A 22185-nucleotide genomic window follows, 5' to 3' on the forward strand; every position below is an offset into this window, starting at 1 on the left:
AAAGACTTGTAGATGAAAGTACATAGCATTTTTAATCTGTTAGCGAAAATCTGGAAACAAACCAAACGTCCATCAATATGTGAAAGGATTAAAAAACTGTGGCACAGAAATACAAAAAAAAACCCTCAGAGGATATTAGGAACACCTCTATGCACTCAAGCTAGAAAACCTAGAAGATATGAATAAATTTCTGGGAACGTACACCCTGTCAAGATTGAATCAGGAAGAAACTGAATCCCTGAACAGACCAATAACAAGCTCCAAAACTGAATCACTAATAAAAAGCCTACCATCAGAAAAAGCTTAGGAGCAGACAATTCACAGCCAAATTCTACCACGTGTATAAAGAAGAGCTGGTACCATTCCTACTGAAACTATTCCAAAAAAATGAGAAGGAAGGACTCCCTAACTCATTCTATGAGGCCAGCATCATCCTGATACAAAATCTGGCAGAGAGACAACAAAAAAAGGAAACTTATGGCCAATATCCTTGATACACGTAGATGTAAAAATCCTCAATAAATACTAGCAAATGAAATCCAGCAGCACATCAAAATGAAAAGCTACCACAAATAAGTAGGTTTTATCCCTAGATGTAAGGTTAGGTCAACATACACAAATCACTAAATGTGATTCATCACATAAACAGAATGAAAAACAAAAACCACACAATCGTCTCAATAGACACAGAAAAGGCTTTCAATAAAATCCAACATCGCTTCATGTTAAAAAAAAGAAAAAAAACCTCAACAAACTAGGTATTGAAGGAATATACATCAAAATAATAGAGTAACCTATGATAAATCCACAGCCAACATCATACTGAATGGGCAAAAGCTGGAAAACTGGAACAAGACAAGGATGCCCTCTCTCACCATTCCTGTTCAATATAGAACCGGAAGTCCTAGCCAGAGCCATCAGGCAAGAGAAAGAAATAAAACACATCCAAATAGAAGACATGAAGTCAAACTATCTCTGTTTGTAGAAAATATGATTCTATACCTGGAAACCCAATAGTCTGCCCAAAAGCTCCTAGATCTGAGAAACAATTTCAGCAAAGTTTCACGATACAAAACTAAAGTATACAAATCAGTAATATTTCCATACACCAACGACATCCAAGCTGAGAGCCAAATAAGCAACACAATCCCATTCACAAAAGCCACAAAAAGAATAAAACACCTGGGAATACAGCTAACAGAGAGGTAAAAGATCTCTACAACAGGAATTACAAAACACTGCTCAAAGAAATCAGAGATGACACAAACAAATGGAAAAACATTCAAAGCTCATGGATAGGTAGAATCAATATCATTAAAATGACTTTACTGCCCAAAGCAATTTACAGATCCAGTGCTATTCCTATCAAACTACCAATGACATTCTTCACAGAATTAGAAAAAAAAATAAACTAATTTGAGAGCCGTTCCAAGATGGCTGAATAGGAACAGCTCCAGTCTGCATCTCCCAGTGTGACTGACACAGAAGACGGGTGATTTCTGCATTTCCAACTGAGCCTCGACTGGTGATACCCAAGCAAACAGGGTCTGGAGTGGACCTCCAGCAAACTCCAACAGCCCTGCAGCTGAGGGATCTGACTGTTAGAAGGAAAACTAACTAACAGAAAGGAATTGAACATCAACAAAAAGGGCATCTACACCAAAACCCCATCTGTAGGTCACCAACATCAAAGACCAAAGGTAGATAAAACCACAGAGATGAGGAGAAATCAGAACAGAAAAGCTGAAAATTCTAAAAACCAGAGCGCCTCTTCTCCTCCAAAGGATCGCAGCTCCTCGCCAGAAGTGGAACAAAGCTGGACGGAGAATGACTTCGACGAGTTGACAGAAGTAGGCTTCAGAAGGTTGGTAAGAACAAACTTCTCCAAGCTAAAGGAGCATGTTCAAACCCATCACGAGGAAGCTAAAAACCTTGAAAAAAGTTAGACGAATGGCTAACTAGAATAAACAGTGTAGAGAAGAACATAAATGACCTGATGGAGCTGAAAACCATGGCACGAGAACTTTGTGATGCATGCACAAGCTTCAATAGCCGATTCAATCAAGTGGAAGAAAGGGTATTGGTGATTGAAGATTAAATTAATGAAATAAAACGAGAAGACAAGGTTGGAGAAAAAAGAGTAAAAAGAAACGAATAAAGACTCCAAGAAATATGGGACTATGTAAAAAGACCAAATCTAGGTTTGATAGGTGTACCTAAAAGTGATGGGGAGAATGGAACCAAGTTGGAAAACACTCTTCAGGATATTAGCAAGGAGAACTTCCTCAACCTAGCAAGATAGGCCAACATTCAAGTTCAAGAAATACAGAACACACCACAAAGATACTCCTCAAGAAGAGCAACCCCAAGACACATAATCGTCAGATTCACCAAGGTTGAAATGAAGAAAAAAATGTCAACAGAAGCCACAAAGAAAGGTTGGGTTACCCACAAAGGGAAGCTCATCAGACTACCAGCAGATCTCCCTGCAGAAACATTACAAGCCAGAAGAGGGTGGGGGCAAATATTCAACATTCTTAAAGAAAAGAATTTTCAACCCAGAATCTCATATCCAGCCAAACTAAGCTTCATAAGTGAAAAAGAAATAAAATCCTTTACAGATAAACAAATGCTGAGAGATTTTGTCACCACCAGGCCTGCCTTACAAGAGCTCCTAAAGGAAGCACTAAACATGGAAAAGAACAACTGGTACCAGCCACTGCAAAAACATGCCAAATTATAAAGACCATCCATGCTATGAAGAAACTGCATCCATTAACAGGCAAAATAACCAGCTAACATCATGACAGGATCACATTCACACATAACAATATTAACCTTAAATGTAAATGGGGTAAAAGCCCCAATTAAAAGACACAAACAGACAAACTGGAAAAAGAGTCCAGACCCATCACTGTGCTGTATTCAGGAGACCCATCTCACGTGCAGAGACACACATAGGCTCAAAATAAAGGGATGGAAGAAGATCTACCAAGCAAATAGAAAGCAAAAAAAGCAGGGGTTGCAATCCTAGGGTCTGATAAAATAGACTTTAAACCAACAAAGATCAAAAGAGACAAAGAAGGCCATTACATAATGGTAAAGGGATCAATTCAACAAGAAGAGCTAACTATCCTAAATATATATGCACCCAATACAGGAGCACCCAGATTCATAAAGCAAGTCCTTAGAGACCTACAAAGAGACTTAGACTCCCACACAATAATAATGGGAGACTTTAACATCCCACTGTCAATATTCAACAGATCAATGAGATAGAAGGTTAACAAGGATATCCAGGACTTGAACTCAGCTCTGCACCAAGCAGACCTAATAGACATCTACAGAATTCTCTACCCCTAATCAAGAGAATATACATTCTTCACAGCACCACATTGCACTTATTCTAAAATTGACGACATAATTAGAAGTAAAGCACTCCTCAGCAAATGTAGAAGAACAGAAATCACAACAAACTGTCTCTCAGACCACAGTGCAATCAAATTAGAACTCAGGATTAAGAAACTCACTCAAAACCGCACAACTATATGGAAACTGAACAACATGCTCCTGAATGACTGACTACTGGGTAAATAATGAAATTAAGGCAGAAATAAAGATGTTCTTTGAAACCAACGAGAACAAAGACACAATGTACCAAAATCTCTGGGACACATTTAAAGCAATGTGTAGGAGAAAATTTACAGCACTAAATGCCCTCAAGAGAAAGCAGCAAAGATCTAAAATTGACACCCTAACATCACAATTAAAAGAATAGAGAAGCAAGAGCAAACACATTCAAAAGCTAGCAGAAGGCAAGAAATAACTAAGATCAGAGCAGAACTGAAAGAGATAGAGACACAAAAAAACCTTTCAAAAAAATCAATGAATCCGGGAGCTGGTTTTTCAAAAAGATCAACAAAACTGATAGACCGCTAGCAAGACTAATAAAGAAGAGAGAACAATCAAATAGATGCAATAAAAAATGATAAAGGGGATATCACCACCTATCCTACAGAAATACCATCAGAGAATACTATAAACACCTCTATGCAAATAAACTAGAAAATCTAGAAGAAATGGATAAATTCCTGGACATATACACTCTCCCAAGACTAAAACAGAAAGAAGTTGAATCTCTGAATAAACCAATAACAGGCTCTGAAGTTGAGGCAATAATTAATAGCCTACCAACCAAAAAGTGTCCAGAACCAGACGGATTCACAGCCAAATTCTACCAGAGGTACAAAGAGGAGTTGGTACCATTCCTTCTGAAACTATTCCAATCAATAGAAAAAGAGGGAATCCTCCCTAACTCATTTTATGAGGCCAGCATCATCCTGATACAAAAGCCTGGCAGAGACACACACAAAAAAGAGAATTTTAGACCAATATCCCTGATGAACATCGAAGCAAAAATCCTCAATAAAACACTGGCAAACCGAATCCAGCAGCACATCAAAAAAGCTTATCCACCACGATCAAGTTGGCTTCATCCCTGGGATGCAAGGCTGATTAAACATACGCAAATCAATAAACGTAATCCATCACATAAACAGAACCAACGACAAAAACCATATGATTATCTCAATAGATGCAGAAAAGGCCTTCAACAAAATTCAACAGCACTTCATGATAAAAACTCTCAATAAACTAGGTATTGATGGAATATATCCCCAAACAATAAGAGCTATTTATGACAAACCCACAGCCAATATCATACTGAATGGGCAAAAACGGGAAGCATTCCCTTTGAAAACCGGCACGAGACAAGGATGCCCTCTCTCACCACTCCTATTCAACATATTGGAAGTTCTGGCTAGGGCAATCAGGCAAGAGAAAGAAATAAAGGGTATTCCATTAGGAAAAGAGGAAGTCAAATTGTCCCTGTTTGCAGAGGACATGATTGTACATTTAGAAAACCCCATCATCTCAGCTCAAAATCTTCTTAAGCTGATAAGCAATGTCAGCAAAGTCTCAGGATACAAAATCAATGTGCAAAAATCACAAGCATTCCTATACATCAATAATAGACAGAGAGCCAAATCAGGAGTGACCTCCCATTCAAAACTGCTACAAAGAGAAGAAAATATCTAGGAATCAAACTTACAAGGGATGTGAAGGACCTCTTCAAGGAGAACTAGAAACCACTGCTCAAGGAAATAAAAGAGGACACAAACAAATGGAAGAACATTCCATGCTCATGGATAGGAAGAATCAATATCGTGAAAATGGCCATACTGCCCAAGGTAATTTATAGATTCAATGCCATCCCCATCAAGCTACCAATGACTTTCTTCACAGAATTGGAAAAAACTACTTTAAAGTTCATATGGAACCAAAAAAGAGCTTGCATTGCCAAGACAATCCTAAGCAAAAAGAACAAAGCTGGAGGCATCACACTACCTGACTTCAAACTATACTACAAGGCTACAGTAACCAAAACAGCATGGTACTGGTACCAAAACAGAGATATAGACCAATGGAACAGAACAGAGGCCTTGGAAATAACACCACACATCTACAACCATCTGATCTTTGACAAACCTGACAAAAACAAGCAATGGGGAAAGGATTCCCTATTTAATAAATGGTGCTGGGAAAACTGGCTAGCCATAGGTAGAAAACTGAAACTGGATCCCTTCCTTACACCTTATACAAAAGTTAATTCAAGATGGATCAAAGATTTAAATGTTAGGCCTAAAACCATAAAACCCCTAGAAGAAAACCTAGGCAATACCATTCAGGACATAGGCATAGGCAAGGACTTCATGTCTAAAACACCAAAAGCAATGGCAACAAAAGCCAAAATTGACAAATGGGATCTAATTAAACTAAAGAGCTTCTGCACAGCAAAAGAAACTACCATTAGAGTGAACAGGCAACCTACAGAATGGGAGAAAATTTTTGCAATCTACCCATCTGACAAAGGGCTAATATCAAGAATCTACAAAGAACTCAAATAAATTTACAAGAAAAAAACAAACAACCCCATCAAAAAGTGGGCAAAGCATATGAACAGACACTTTTCAAAAGCAGACATCTATGCAGCCAATAGACACATGAAAAAATGCTCATCATCACTGGTCATCAGAGAAATGCAAATCAAAACCACAATGAGATACCATCTCACGCCAGTTATAATGGCGATCATTAAAAAGTCAGGAAAACAACAGATGCTGTGGAGGATGTGGAGAAATAGGAACACTTTTACACTGTTGGTGGGACTGTAAACTGGTTCAACCATTGTGTAAGACAGTGTGGCGATTCCTCAAGGATCTAGAACTAGAAATACCATTTGACCAAGCAATCCCATTACTGGGTATATACCCAAAGGATTATAAATCATGCTACTATAAAGACACATGCACACATGTTTATTGCGGCACTATTCACAATAGCAAAGATTTGGAACCAACCCAATGTCCATCAGTGATAGACTGGATTAAGAAAATGTGGCACATATACACCATGGAATACTATGCCGCCATAAAAAAGGATGAGTTCATGTCCTTTGCCAGGACATGGATGAAGCTGGAAACCATCATTCTCAGCAAACTATCACAAAGACAGAAAACCAAACCCTGCATGTTCTCACTCATAGGTGGGAACTGAACAATGAGAACACTTGGACACAGGAAGGGGAACATCACACACTGGGGCCTGTCAGCGGGTGGGGGGCTAGGGGAGGGATAGCATTAGGAGAAATACCTAATGTAAATGACTAGTTGATCAGTAAACCAACATGTCACATGTATACCTATTTATCAAACCTGCATGTTGTGCACATGTACCCTAGAACTTAAAGTATAATAAAAATAAATAAAATAAAAAAGGGGAAAAAAAAGAAAAACTAATTTAAAATTCATATGGAACCAAAAAAAGAGTCTGAATAGCTAACACGATCCTAAACAAAAAGAACAAAGCTGGAGGCATCACAACATACCCAACTTCAAACTATACCACAATGATGCAATGACCAAAACAGCATGGTACTGGTACAAAAACAGACACAGAGACCAATGAAACAGAATAGAGAGCCCAGAAATAATGCTACACACCTACAACCATATGATCTTGACAAAGTCAACAAAAACAAGCAGGGAAAGGACTTCTTATTCAGTATATTGTACTGGGATAACTGGCTAGCCATATACAGAAGATTGAAACTGGACCCCATCTTTACACCATACAGAAAAATCAATTAAAGATGGATTAAAGACTTAAATGTAAAACCTAAAACTATGAAAACCCTGCAAGGTAACCTAGGAAATACCATTTGGGCACAGGCCCTGGCAAAGATTTCATGACAAAGGCGCCAAAAACAGTTGTGACAAAACCAAACATTGACAAATGAGACTAAAGAAACAATCAACAGAGTAAACAGACAACCTACAGAATAGGAGAAGATATTTGCAAATTATGCATCTGACAAAGGTTTAGTATCCAGAATCTTAAGGAACTTAAACAAATGAACAACCAAAACACAAACAACCCCATTAACAATTGGGAAAGAACATAGACATTTCAAAAGAAGACATACATGCAGCCTACAACCATATGAAAAAATGCTCAACATCACTAATTATCAGAGAAATGCAAATCAAAACCACAATGAGATGCCATCTCATACCAGTCAGAATGGCTATTATTAATAAGCTAAAAAAAAAAACAGATGCTGGTGAGGGTGCAGAGAAAAGAGGATGCTTATACACTGCTAGTGGGAACGTAAATTAGCTCAGACATGGTGGAAAGCAGTTTGGGCATTTTTCAAAGAACTTGAAACAGAATTGCCATTCAACCCAACAATCTCATTACTGGGTATATACTCAAAGAAATATAAATTGTTCTACTATAAAGACACATGCACACGTATGTTTGTCACAGCATTACTCACAATAGCAAAGACTTGGAATCAAACCAAATACCCATCAACAGTAGACTGGATAAAGGAAATGTGGTACATATACACCATGGAATACTACATAGCCATAAAAAAGAATGAGATGATATGCTCTGCAGCAAGATGGATGCAGCTGGAGGCCATTATCCTAAATGAAATAACACAGGAATAGAAAACCAAACACCACATTTCTCACTTATACGTGGGAGCTAAACATTGAGTACTTACAGACACTAAGAAAGGAACAATAGACAACAGGGCCTAGTTGAGGGTGAAGGGTGGGAGGATGGTAAGGATCGAAAAACTGCCTATTGAATACTGTACTTATTACCTGGGTGACGAAATAATCTGTACACCAAACCCCCAAGACACGCAATGTACCTATAAAACAAACCTGCACATGTACCTCTGAACCTAAAAGTTAAAAAAATTGTGGTGTATTGACATAATGACCTACTGCTCAGTAATGTAACAAAAAAATACAGAAATACATACTAACGTTGAAGATTGTCACAGAATAATGCTGAGCAAAAGTACCAAGACACAAGAGTACCTTCTACATGATCCCATTTCTATGAAATTCTAGAAAAGGCAAATCGAATCTATTTTTTTATCTAAAAAATGTTTTTTATAGATTTAGGGATACAAGTGCAGTTGTGTTACATAGACATATTGCATTGATGAAGTCTGGGCTTTTACTGTACCTATCACCCAAACAGTGAACATTGTACTCAATAGGCAGTATTTCATCCCTCACCCCTCTCCCACTCTCTCACCTTTTGGAGTCTCCAGTGTCTATTACGCCACTCTGTATGTCCACGTGTACCCACTGTTTAGCTCCCACCTATAAATGAGAATGTGCAGTTTTTGACTTTGTTTTACAGCCATTTCACTTAGGATAATGGCCTCTAGCTCCATCCATGTTGCTGCAAAGGACATGAACAAATATAATCTATAATAATGGAAAGCGTATCAATGCTCATCAGCTTCCGGAGAGGTGGGAATTAACTGAAAAGGGCCTTGAGAGAATTTTTTGGGATGACGGAAATGTTCTATATTATGATTGTGGTGGTAATCATGAGGGTATATACATTTGTCAAAACTCATTGAACTGTACTTTTTTTTTGAGAAGGAGTTTTGCTCTTGCTGCCCAGGCTGGAGTGCAATGGCGCGATTTCGGCTCACTGCATCCTCCGCCTCCCAAGTTCAAACGGTTCTCCTGTCTCAGCCTTCTGAGTAGCTGGGATTACAGGTATGTGCCACCATACCCAGGTAATTTTTTTGTATTTTTAGTACAGACAGGTTTCACCATGTTGGTCAGGCTGGTCTCAAACTCCTGACCTCAGGTGATCCGCCCACCTCGGCCTCCTAAAGTGCTGGGATTACAGGTATTAGCCACCGTGCCTGGCCTTAACTGTACATTTTAAATGTGTGTATTTTACTTATGTAAATTATACCTCAATAAACTTGATTTTTAAAATTCATCATCACTCTAGTTTGAAGAAAGTAGAAGCCTGTCTAGAATAAAAGTTCATTTTAAATGATATGAGATCCAATTTTAAGATGAGTAGGCATCTAACAAAGTGTCTAGCATTTTCAGCAATAAATAACCTAATACCACTTGGGTAAAGTATAATGTTAAAATAACTCTTTGAAAATAACTCTTGAGGAAAATTGCTTTGTACCAAATTTCCAAGAGAAAAATCATACTGTTTGTTTTTTAGAAAGAGAGACAGACAGACATACACACACATACACACGTTGCCTGTGATTTTAAAAATTCTATGAGAGTGAAGATGTTAGCTTTAATTACCTCTTGTTTAACATCATCACTTGAACATGTAACCTTTTCCTAACTTTGCACACTCTATGAGGGCATTGTGGGGACACTTTAGGCAAAGGGAATACTATCATCACCAACATGGAAGGAGTGAGCGTGAGAGCACACACCATGGCTGGGAAGCTACACTAGTGCAACTCAGCTGGGGAGATAAAGACCAAGTGGCAGGAAAGGGCTTATCAACCACTAAAGTATTTCTCTTTTTTTTTAACTTTTATTTTAGGTTTGGGGATACATGTGAAGGTTTGTTACGTAGGTAAACTCATATCATGGGGGCCTGTTGAACAGATTATTTAATCACCCAGGTATTAAGTTCAGTACCCAATAGTTACCTTTTCTGCTTCTCTCCCTCCTCCCAAACTCCACCCTCAAGTAGACCCCAGTGTTTGCTGTTCATTTGTTTGTGTTCATGAGTTGTCAGCATTTAGCTCCCACTTATAAGTAAGAACATGTGGTATTTGGTTTTCGTTCCTGCATTTGTTTGCTAAGTATAATAGCCTCCATCTCCATCCATGTTCCCACAAAAGACATGAAGTATTTCAAGCTGGAGAATCCATGACCAAATCTGTACTGTTAGAAGGATCACTAGGATAGCACTCAGGGGATTAACTGCGGAGTAGGATGACAAGACTGGAAGGCAGAAGAATATAGATACAGGGCCTCTGCTTGATCATGGTAAAATAGAGAAGGTCTACATTAAAGCAATGACAGTGACGCTGAATTGAATGAAATGTTTTGACTGTATTTAGAAGGCCGAATCGATAGGATTTGGTCACTAATTGGATGTGGCATTAGGAGTGAGGGAGGATTCTAGAACGACTTTTGACTTGGACGTTCCATCTGAATAATTGTACCATTCACCAAAAAGAAGAATACGAGAGGAAAAGCAGGTCTGGAGAGAAAAAAGATGACTTCATGTCTGCACATAATGAGTCTAAGGCACACATGTACATCCAAGAGAAGTTATTCAGCAAGCCAGATGAATATGTGGATGTGGAGTCAGGAATGGTCTGGGCTGGAGTCAGAGATCAGATAACAAAACTGAAAATAAAGTATAAACCTGCACAAAGTGAGGGCTAAAAATGGAAGCCTGGATGGCCCCAACATTTTCATGAGTAGGCAGAAGAAGAGCATAAAAATGTGATAGAAAGTTGCATTTGGGATCATAGAAGGCTGTTTGATGAGGGTTCTGTGAAAGTGGGAGTGGTCAGCAACCATCAAATGCTGAAAAGTCATCAAACAATGTAAGAGACATGTATTTATCAAGTAGGAAGTGACTGGTGACTTTTCCAAGAGCAGTTCTGAGACACCGCAGAAGATACAGCCAGAGCACAGTGTTCTGAGGAGTGAGAAGTGAAGAAGCAGAGAAAAGGCAATGTTCAGTATTATTTCAATGAGTTTGGCTATGAAAGGAAGGTGAATATTAGATCAGCAACAGATGGGAAACCATTTTAGGGAAGAGTTTTGTTAGTCTGTTTTTATGGTGTAGTTTGGGCCTGTTTATCTGCTGCTGTTCCAAGATAGATGGGGCCGGGGAGGGTGACAAAGTAAAGGTGTCAAAGGGAATGTTATGGGATCCACAGAGCAAATAGTGGTGGCGCTAGTCTTGGACAAGAGGAAGGGATTCTTTTTCACTGAACTGAGAGGGAAAGATTCATGTGCATATTGATAAGTGGTTGAGTGGGGGCGTCGTAAGAAGCAGATAAACTTAATGAACTGACAAAAGGTGAGATGCTCTGTTGAGAGGAATAGGGAGCTGATAATGTGAGTTTAAGGAGAGCAGTGAAGGTTGGAAAAGGTACTGGTGAGAATGGAAAAGCTTTAATATCTTAATAGTATAATTAGGGCCTCCACTTTTTAAAATTAATCTCAGTCTATATATGAAGAAATATGTTATAATTATTGCCACATAAAGAGATTCTGAATACATATTGCTTTCTATAAAACAACATTTCTTGGCTTCCATGTAATGACACTTCTAATTACCTCCTAAGGAAGACATAATCTTTGAATTATTCTAATGACAAGAATGATGGACTTTTAATGCCCAACACATTTGTGTGATCATTGTAAGGATTAAGAAATGGAAGCTCTAGCCTTGGAGCAATGTTCCTTCAACATTACACTAACTGACCTAATCTAAGAGTCTAACTCCAAAAATCTTAGCATATTGGCATTAGGCACTGTCACGTTTACATATGAAAGCATTCTATTTTAAACTACGACCCATGATCTATCTTTACAATTTTAAATTGTAAGCTACACCTTTCATGTCAAATTTTCCAAAGGCTTGCATAACAAGCATCTGAAAAAAAAAAAAATCTCATAAATGCTCCCTAGTGGGAAAACTGCACATGCAACTACCTGTTTATATATGCAGTAACTTGAATTATACATGAAAACTCCACATGGATGCCCAGAATCAGCACTGACAAATTCAAGAAGTATATTAATTTTTTTGGATGTATTTAGTAGCAGATCATAAGAAAAATCTGTTCTTTATACTGGGTTTTCTTTTAAAAATCTGCTAGTTGGAATCTTCTATTTCAAGGAATCTACTCTTCCGAGGAAAAATACTTTGTAATAAATATTAATCTTATACATTAAAAATGAGAAACAAAACTTTAAAAAATCCTTGGAAATTCCACATTTAGATCTTTTAAAGAGCCTATAAGACTGTACAGTTTCCCTATTCTATAAAACTTAAGAGTCATATTGAAAATAAAATTTAAATGATAAATGTCAGTTGCAAAAGTTATCACCTTTTCATTTGAATGCTTGACTTCTATTGGATAATTCTCTTCCAAGAGACCTTCTTGGGAAAAAGAGGTGACAGCCAACTCATTGCCTAATTGATTTAGGAACAGTGCCCAGGGAGACAGTCCAATTAAGTTTACAAGCTGGCAATTAGCAGGAAGCCCTCTAAATCCCTACACTGAGAGCCTGTTTACTTTAGTAAGAAGGCAAATGTGCTAGAGATAGGAAGAGAAAGCTGTGCTTTTTGCAAAGCTGTTGTGAGTAGGCCCACAAGGGAGGGCTGAAGAAAAGCTAGGTGTACATGGGCAGAAAGCCTTCTGTTTGACAGGTAACTGGGTAATTTAGAGGGTGAAAGGAGAGATTGAGAGAGAGAGAGAGAGGAAGAAGGGCGGGGGGCGGGAAGAGAGAGAGACAGAGTATGTGAGAAAGAGAGAGCATGAGTGCATGCATGTGTGTGTGTTTTAACAGACATGCAAAACATCAAACATCCACTTTAATTAGTGTTGTGTATGGAGACATACAACTGTTAAACATGTAGTTAGGCAAAGTATAACTGGATTATCTCGTAATAAATGAGACTCCAAACATTTTTTTCTTGAACAATATTAACATTATGAATAGATTTAGCTGCATTTTTATTATGTGAAAAGAACATAGGTCTCACATTGTATGTATTATATCTTTCAGGTAAATCAAATCATGTTCACTAGATTTATTTCATGTATTCAACTTCAGAGACAAGCAGATCCATGAAAAAATAAAGTAAATTGAAAGCTATTTAACAAAGACTACAATGTCTTTAAAAATCTAACTTTGTACCATAGAGCCAAATTCCATAAAGGGTTTTAAAATGTATTTACCTATGTTTTCAAATAGCCATAATGTACATTAATTAAAATTTATTTTTTACACCTAAGTGAGGTTCTCTCAAGAATGTTAAATTGTAGAAATCTACCTAAAGTATATCATATATTTCAGGGCACAGCTAGTAATGCAAAGCTACAATAGGCAAGTGAATCATCATAATAACATTTTATTTTAAAGTCTCTTGGTTGATACATAAAAAATCAACTGGAAATGGATTAAAGACTTAAATATAAAACCCAAAAGTATAGAAATCCTGGAAGACAACTAGGCAATACTATCCTGGACAATAGGCAAAGATTTCATGACAAGGACGCCAAAAGCAATTGCAACAAAAGAAACTATGAATAGAGTAAACAGACAACCTACAGAATGGGAGAAAATATTTGTAAACTGTATATCTGACAAAGGTCTAATATCCAGCATCTATAAGGAACTTAAACAAATTTACAAGAGAAAAACAAACCCGTTAAAAAGTAGGCAAAGCCAGAGTAATTTACAGATTCAATGCTATTCCCATAAAACTACCATTGACATTCTTCACAGACTTAGAAAAAATTACTTTAAATTTCATATGGAACCAAAAAGGAGCCCATATAGCCAAGACAATCCTAAGCCAAAAGAACACGCTGGAGGCATCACACTACCTGACTTCAAACTATACTAAAGGCTACAGTAACCATAGCAGCATGGTACTGGTACCAAAACTGATATATAGACCAATGGAAGAGAAAGAAGAGACACCTCAGAAATAACACCACACATCTACAACTATCTGATCTTCAACAAACCTGACACAAAAACAAGCAATGGGGAGAGGATCCCCTATTTAATAAATGGTGCTGGGAAAACTGGCTAGCCATATGCAGAAAACTGAAACTGACCCCTTCCTTATACCTTACACAAAAATTAACTCAAAATGGATAAAGGACTTAAATGTAAAACCCAAAATCATAAAAACCCGAGAAGAAAACCTAGGTAATACCATTCAGGACACAGGCATGAGCAAAGACTTCATGACGAAAAAACCAAAAGCAATTGCAACAGAAGCCAAAATTGACAAATGGGATCTAATTAAATTAAAGAGCCTCTGCACAGCCAAAGAAACTATCATCAGAGTGAACAGGCAATCTACAGAATGGGAGAAAAGTTTTGCAATCTACCCATCTAACAAAGGTCTAATATCCAGAATCTACAAGGAACTTAAACAAATTTACAAGAACAAAACAAACAACCCCATCAAAAAGTGGGCAAAGGATACGAACAGACACTTCTCAGAAGAAGACATTTATGCAGCCAACAAACATATGAAAAAAAGCTCATCATCACCGATCATTAGAGAAATGCAAATCAAAACCACAATGAGATACATCTCACATCAGTCAGAATGGTGATTATTTACAAAGTCAAGAGGCCAGGTGCAGTGGCTCACACTTGTAATCCCAGCACTTTGGGAAGCTGAGGCAGGCAGATCACTTCAGGTCAGGATTTGAGACCAGCTCAAGACCACTTGAGGCTGGTTTGAGACCAGCCTGGGCAACATGGTAAAACCCTGTCTCTACTAAAAATACAAAAATTAGCCAGGCATGGTGGCACATGCCTGTAATCCCAGCTACTCAGGGGGCTGAAGCAGGAGAATTGCTTGAACCCAGGAGGTGGAGGTTGCCGTGAGCTGAGATCACGCCACTGCACTCCAGCCTGGGTGACAGAGTGAGACTGTGTCTCAAAAAAAAGGTCAAGAAAACAATAGATTCTGGTGAGGCTGTGGAGAAATAGGAACACTTTTACACTGCTGGGCATGTAAATTAGTTCAACCATTGTGGAAGACAGTATGGTGATTCCTCAAGGATCTAGAACCAGAAATACCATGTTACCCAGCAATCCCATTACTGAGTATATACCCAAAGGAATATAAATCATTCTGCTATAAAGACACATGCATGTTTATTACACAACTATTTAAGATAGCAAAGACATGGACCCAACCAAATGCCCATCAATAATAGACTGAATAAAGAAAATGTGGTACATATACACCATGGAATACTATGAAGCCATAAAAAAGAATGAGATCATGTCCTTTGCCGGGACATGGACGAAGCTGGAAGCCGTCATCCTCAGCAAACTAACACAGGAAAAGAAAACCAAACATCACATTTTCTCATTCATAAGTGACAGTTGAACAATGAGAATACATGGACACAGGGAGGGGAACAACACACACAAGGGCCTGTTGGGGGTGGGGAGCAAGGAGAGGGAGAGCATTAGGACAAATACCTAATGCATGCAGGGCTTAAAACCTAGATGACAGGTTGATAGGTGTAGCAAACCACCATGGCACATGTATACCTACGTAACAAACTTGCACATTCTGCACATGTATCCTGGAACTTAAAGTAAAATAAAAATAAAAATAAAATAAAAGTGGGCAAAGGACATGAACAGACACTTCTCAAAAGAAGACATACATGCAGCCAAGAAGCATATGAAAAAAAGCTCAGTATCACTGATTATTAGAGAAGTGCAAACCAAAACCACAATGAGATACCATCACACACCAGTCAGAATGGCTATTTTTTTTGAGACGGAGTCTTGCTCTGTCGCCCAGGCTGGAGTGCAGTGGCACGATCTTGGCTCACTGCAAGCTCCGCCTCCCAGGTCCACAAAGAATGGCTATTATTAAAAAGTAAAAAAATAACAGATGCTGGCAAGGTTGTGGAAAAAAGGGAATGCTTATGCACTGTGAGGGGGGAGTGTAAATTAGTTCAATCATTGTGGAAAGCAATATAGCAATTCCTCAAAGAGCTAAAAGCAAAACTACTATTTGACCTAGGAATCCCATTATTGGGTATATATCCAGAGGAATATAAATCATTCTGCCATAAAGATACATGCACACAAATGTTTGTTGCAGCACCATTCACAATAGTAGAGACATGGAATCAACCTAAATGCCCATCAATCACAGACTGGATAAAGAAAATGTGGTACACTGTGGAATATTATACAGCCATTAAAAAGAACAAGATAATGTTTTTTGCAGGAACTTGGACGGAGCTGAACGCCATTATCCTTAGCAAACTAATGCAGAAACAGAAAACCAAATACCGCATGTTCTCACTTATAAGTGGGAGCTAAATGATAAAAACTTATGAACACAAAGAAGAAAAAAACAGACACTGGGGTCTACTTGAGGGAGGAGGATATGAGGAGGGAGAGAAGCAGAAAAGATAACTATTGGGTACTGGGCTTAATACCTGTGTGATGAAATAATATGTACAGCAAACCCCCGTGACACGTTTACCTATATAACAAACCTGCATGTGTACCCACAAACCTACATAAAAGTTAAAAAAAATTCTCTTGGTTGAAATGGGCTATATTAATATATAATTTTATAGCTATTAACTTATCAACATCTATAAAAATACCTATCCTTTTGAATATTTTTATCCAAAAGAGAAACTAAAAGTTATACAGGTATCTTCAGCAAATTCTAACTAAATATCTGCTTTCTTTTCTTTTAAAACACTTGCTTCACACAATTCCAGTCTGGGAAGCAACAGACACCAATAATCTAAAATAATTTTTATAGAAAAATTATTCCATTCCTACAACACAGAATTTTTCAATGGACAAAGTAAGTCCTTCTAAAATATTCACATGTCTATTTCTTAAGGAATTATTTAGTAGTGTAGTTTATTTTAGAGCGTATCAAATGTAAAAATTAGGGCTTTTGAAGCATCATGATTGACAATTAGTGCAATTTACAAATTATTCAATATCTAGTGTTCCTTTGGCAGTTAGAAAGTCATCCACAAAAGGGAACTATATGGATATTTGAAAGGCAAACATATTTATGGGATGATAAATAGAAAAATCTACATTCTAAGAATAGTTTTATTGCCTTAATTATGTCACTATCCTAAACATTTTAATTTACTTACTCATCACTTTCCTTGACTTACCTAGTTTAAACAACAGCACACCCAAAGGTCCTCTTTCAAACCTGAGGAAGAGGAGATCATAGATATCACTACCTTCACCCTTCTGAGAAACAACCTGAGGAGCTATCCATTGCATTTGAACAAGACTGCTGGAGGCATCAAATAATTTACTGAATTGCAGAGTCTCCCTGGGTAAGCGGTCTTCAGCCAACAGTTGGATGTTAATAGGGGATAGAGCCATATCAAAAATTTGCAACTCCCCTTGGTTGCTGCCAACTAGCAGAATGGCACCACTTGGGTGGCAGCTTATTAATGAAGGCAAAAGTTCAGTCTGTGCTAAGAGAGTCACTCTACGGTGAGTTTCATAAAGAATTAGCGAAGAATCTTCACAGCCCAGAATCAGTTTGTCTTCAGTAACATTCCTGCAGCAGCTGATGGCCTTTGACTTTAGTGGTATTCTGGTGACTGACACACACTGGATTTTATTCCGAATGCATTCATAGATGCAGCTGTCAGCCATGGGCTCTTTGTCTACACTTACGGAGTGCTCCACTGTGAACACCTGATAAGGCTGTTTGGTGCCAAAGCGAACATCCAGTGGGTCCCATTCTGTGCGGACAGAACTCAGAACCTGTTAAGAAATATATCAAGTACATTCAGATAAACTTTGGTTTTTCTTCAACTTCACACCTAGGACTGCATATTTATTCAGAAACCTATTAAAGAAAATCAATTACTATCTTAAACATCAGCAACATACAAGTATATAAAGTACATATAGCACATCTATCTCATATACAGCATGTATACAAATATATATAGTGACACAGTGAGATCCTGTCTTAAAAAAATAAAAAATATACATATAGCACAGCTGCAAGAATTAAACTATAAGATTTTAACTTTAACAATTTGTTTTGGAAGGCCTGTAAATCACTTTAAATATGTTCCACAGTACATAAAAACTAAGAAAGTCAGCTTTTAGTAATATCATATGGTTAGCAGAATATCTTAAAAAGTTAAAAAGAATGAATAAGAACTTACCAACACAAAGTTGGACTTTAAATGATTAGTTAATCTCCTTCAACCTACCACCCTTGTCAATTCTGAAATTATTGGTAAATTGCTTATTAGAAATATATTTCTAATTAGTAGGGCTGGGTAGACAAAGGAAAAAACTTTAGAAACCTGTTAACAATCTTGTGGAAATATTTTACTATCAGAAAGGATATATAGGAATTCTAAGTAGACAAGTGACCAATAGAAAGAAATAATGTAATGTACTAGTTTTAAAATAAACATTAAAAAATTAAGACCTAGTATATATAGTCGGTCCTTGAACAACATGAGTTTGAACTGTAGGGTCCACTTATAGGTGGATGTTTTTCAACCAAATGCAAATAGAAAATACAGTATTCCCAGTATGTGGGAAATCTATGTAAACAGAGGACTGACTTTTCATATACTTGAGTTCCACAAGGCTAAGTATATGCAGATTTTGGTATAGTGTGTGTGTGTGTGTGTGTGTGTGTGTGTGTGTGTGTGTGTGTGTGTGTGTGTTGGCGGGGGTGGTCCTGGAACCAATCATCCACATATATCGAGGGACAACTGCAATATGATTTGTCAATCCTGGTGGAGTAAAATTTTAAAAGCATCTTTGGTATAGAAAGGAAAGGCTATCTACCAACATGGAACACAATGCAGAAGAACATCAAATAAAACCACAGGCCATTCACTTTATTCATATGTAAATGACAGGAGTCCAAGAACCAGGAGAGTGGTATTAAAGAAGGTCAGACCCAGAAATATTAAAAAACATATATCTACACGTTAAAATTTTATAGAACTGTACATCCCCCAGAAAAGGTGCATGTAAAATCTGATGAAATCCATCTAAGGTCTGCACCTGAGTTAACAGTATAGTAACAAGGTCATTTTCCTGTATTTGACAGTGTATTGCAGTAATGTAAGATGTCACTGGGGAAACTGGGGGAAAGTACAGAAAGAGCATTTACTGTACTGTTTAACAATTTCATGTGAGTCAAACTATTTCAAGATTAAAAGTCATTTTTTAAAAAAGCACATAGAGCTGTGTGGCAGAGTGCTGGATTGGGGAGGGGTGGGGAGTTGATGTGACTTAAAAAAAATCCATCCTACACCTTATCACCAAATTAATCTCCCTAAACTAAATGCTTTTGCCTTTACTCCACTCTTCAAACCGTTCAATGGCTACCCACTGACTAATACGTTAAATTTTTATTCCTTTGCCTGAACATAAACTGCCATAGGATCCATATCCAACTCCTTCCCTCCCTCACACTCTTTTTGCTGCAGTCATTTTCTTTTTTGTCCAATAAATATTTGAATATGAGCCATGTGCCAGGCACTGGTTCTGGGGGCTAGGGATATGACATTGCATAAAATCTTCTCGATCAGGGGCATACACTTGTAAAGGAGAAAAAGTAATACATTTCCCTCCTATCACAAGGTTCATAGCTGACACCCCCTATAACAAAAGACAGATTAATAAGAGAAAAGCTTAACGATTTTATGTAACCAAAGTTTTATGCAACATAGGTGCCTTCAGAAATGAAGACCCAAAGAACCAGGGAAAACTCTATTTTATGCTTAGGTTTGATGAAGAATTGATAGTCATATAGAAGTATGACTGGACAAAAAGCAGGTATGACCTAATGTACTGAGGGGAACTTAGCAAGTCCTATTTGTTCAGATTTTTCTCTGTGTCTCTGTGTACTCATTCCTTTCCTCCATGTACAGGGTAGACACTTGTCACATGAGGGTCTTATGATCTACTTTTAGGTCAGAGAATTCTTTTCATGGCTTCAGGGGAGAAAGGTGGAAGGATGTCAGAGAAAGAGAATGACAAAGACAAAGGGACCTTTCTGCTTCTGTGGTTTTCTCAATTTCCTTCAGCTTTAAACATTCAGTATGCCAAAAATGCCGTTATTTGGGGGTAGCACTTTCCACACACCATCACACCCTAATAGCAAAAACAGAGGCAATAATAATAAAAGCATATAGATATCCTAAACACTATGAAGTAAAATAAAGCAAAGTACAGGGAATAGGGAGTGGCTGGAGTGGGGCTCGGGGTGTGATACAGAGAGATCGAGACAGACCTCTCTCATAAAGGTGACCTGAAAGAGGCATGAGCCATGCAGCCATGTGGGAAAGGAGAGCTTCAAGCAGAGGAAACAAGCCCTGAGGTGGAATCTCTATTGGCCAGATCAAGGAGACTAATATAGCTAGAGAAGGGGAAGCAAGGAAGAAAGTCATGGGAAATGGGAATTGAGGCACAGGGAGGATATTGTGTGATAGCTTGTAGGCCACTAGGGACTTTGATTTTTTCTCTAAATCAGATGAGAGGCTGTAAGTTCTGAACAAAGGAGGGACATGATCTGCTTTGCAAATTCCAGTATTATCTCCTACAGTCTCCCCTCCAGGACCCCTACTCCAAGTTCAAACTAAAACCTGCCCCACATTTTCCCTGCTCTATAACTTCATTCATGTTTTTTGCCTGAAATCCACAGTCTTCACCTACACACTCTGTTTGTCCTACCAACCATACTTAACTAACCGTACTTACATATATGCTACACCAAAAGTATCCTCATTTCTTGGATTCCTTCTAGCTTCTGGCATCTTTAAAAAAATAATCTGTCTTATATATTTTACACTTTTTTGTACCTGTGTAGCAGCTAGCCAAAAACTGTGCTGGTAGGAAGTTTCTTAAGCTATGAATTAAAAGAAAATTGTAATGCTGGTTGAAATATCATACTTCCAGAAAGCTTAAAGATTTGCAAAGGAAGCCTTAGGGCAGATGATTGAGAGGCCAGGTCATGTCGAGTAGAGCCTGTACTCACAAAGGGGCAGCCTAAAAGAAGGGGCCCAAACAGATGGCAGTCTTGGACTTGAACAAGTTACGTTCATGATCCAGAAAAAAGGATCCCAGGCCTCCTTGTTTGCAAAGTTTGTGAGATGCTCTCTAATAGGCTCTGTAGTTTCACGAAGAAAACGGGGTAAAAAGTGGAGGTGGATGGGAGGCAGATCTAGAGTGCACCTCCAGACAGAGCAGTGTGTGGAGGCTCGCACTGTGAATTTTAGCCCAGATAGACTGCAAGAACAAACCAGCAGTCCCAAGAAGAGCCACAGACTCTCTGAAGGAAGCGGACTGCTCCTGCAGGACCCAGGAGACACCCCAAATACTGTGAGTGCCCCAACTGCGGAGTGGGAAAGGGAGAGCCTCCTCTCCTGAACACACCCCCAGAATGGAGAAACTGAAGGTCTGTTTGTAGGAGAGGTTTCTGACCTTAACTGGAAGTGAGTCAATTTAGAGAGTGGAGCAAAATACAGGGGTAGTGCAAGTAGCAGAAAGGCCCTGGGAGCTCACTATGTCCCCAAGCAGGCCATTCCTAACCTGATACCATAGGGATCCATTGAGGGGGTGGCCAGAAGGAAGACGGGTAAAACTCCACAGGGAGAAGGAAATCTCTAGCTGAACTGTGTAACAATTCGAACAGGACAAGACATCCGGGATGCACACTCCACAGCCAGGGGGAGAAGCAAGCCCTTTTCTTTCACAGCTAGGAGGCAGGTAGCCTAGGGCAAGTTTTCAAGCCTGGCTCGCCCACTGCCTGGAAACAGACTTGGGACTGTTGTGTGAGGCAGTGAGAGTGAGACAGGCCCTTTGGTTTGTGTGGGAGCTGGGTAAGGCCTGTGACTGCCGGCTCTCCCCGACTTCCCTGACAACCTGCATGACTCAGCAGAAGCAGCCATAATCCTCCTAGGTACACAAATCCAGTGACCTGGGAATGTCACCCCCATCCCCCACAGCAGCCACAGCAACACCCACC

The 22185-nt window shown here is 38.5% G+C and overlaps 1 protein-coding gene across 24 annotated transcripts in view; it reads right to left on the minus strand.

Moving 5' to 3' along the window:
* WDPCP (WD repeat containing planar cell polarity effector) overlaps positions 1-22185 on the minus strand; it is a 721268-nt gene that overhangs the window by 267157 nt on the left and 431926 nt on the right. For all 24 annotated transcript variants that reach the window (NR_148705.2, NR_148704.2, NR_122106.2 and 21 more), the window contains one exon: positions 17333-17942. Coding sequence is in view for 19 of the 24 variants with exons in the window: in XM_047444629.1 (XP_047300585.1) it covers positions 17333-17942 (610 nt within the window). In the remaining 5 variants the exon portion in view is untranslated. The remainder of the gene's footprint in view (positions 1-17332; positions 17943-22185) is intronic.

Source organism: Homo sapiens, chromosome 2, assembly GCF_000001405.40.
Source record: "Homo sapiens chromosome 2, GRCh38.p14 Primary Assembly".
Lineage (NCBI taxonomy): Eukaryota > Metazoa > Chordata > Mammalia > Primates > Hominidae > Homo > Homo sapiens.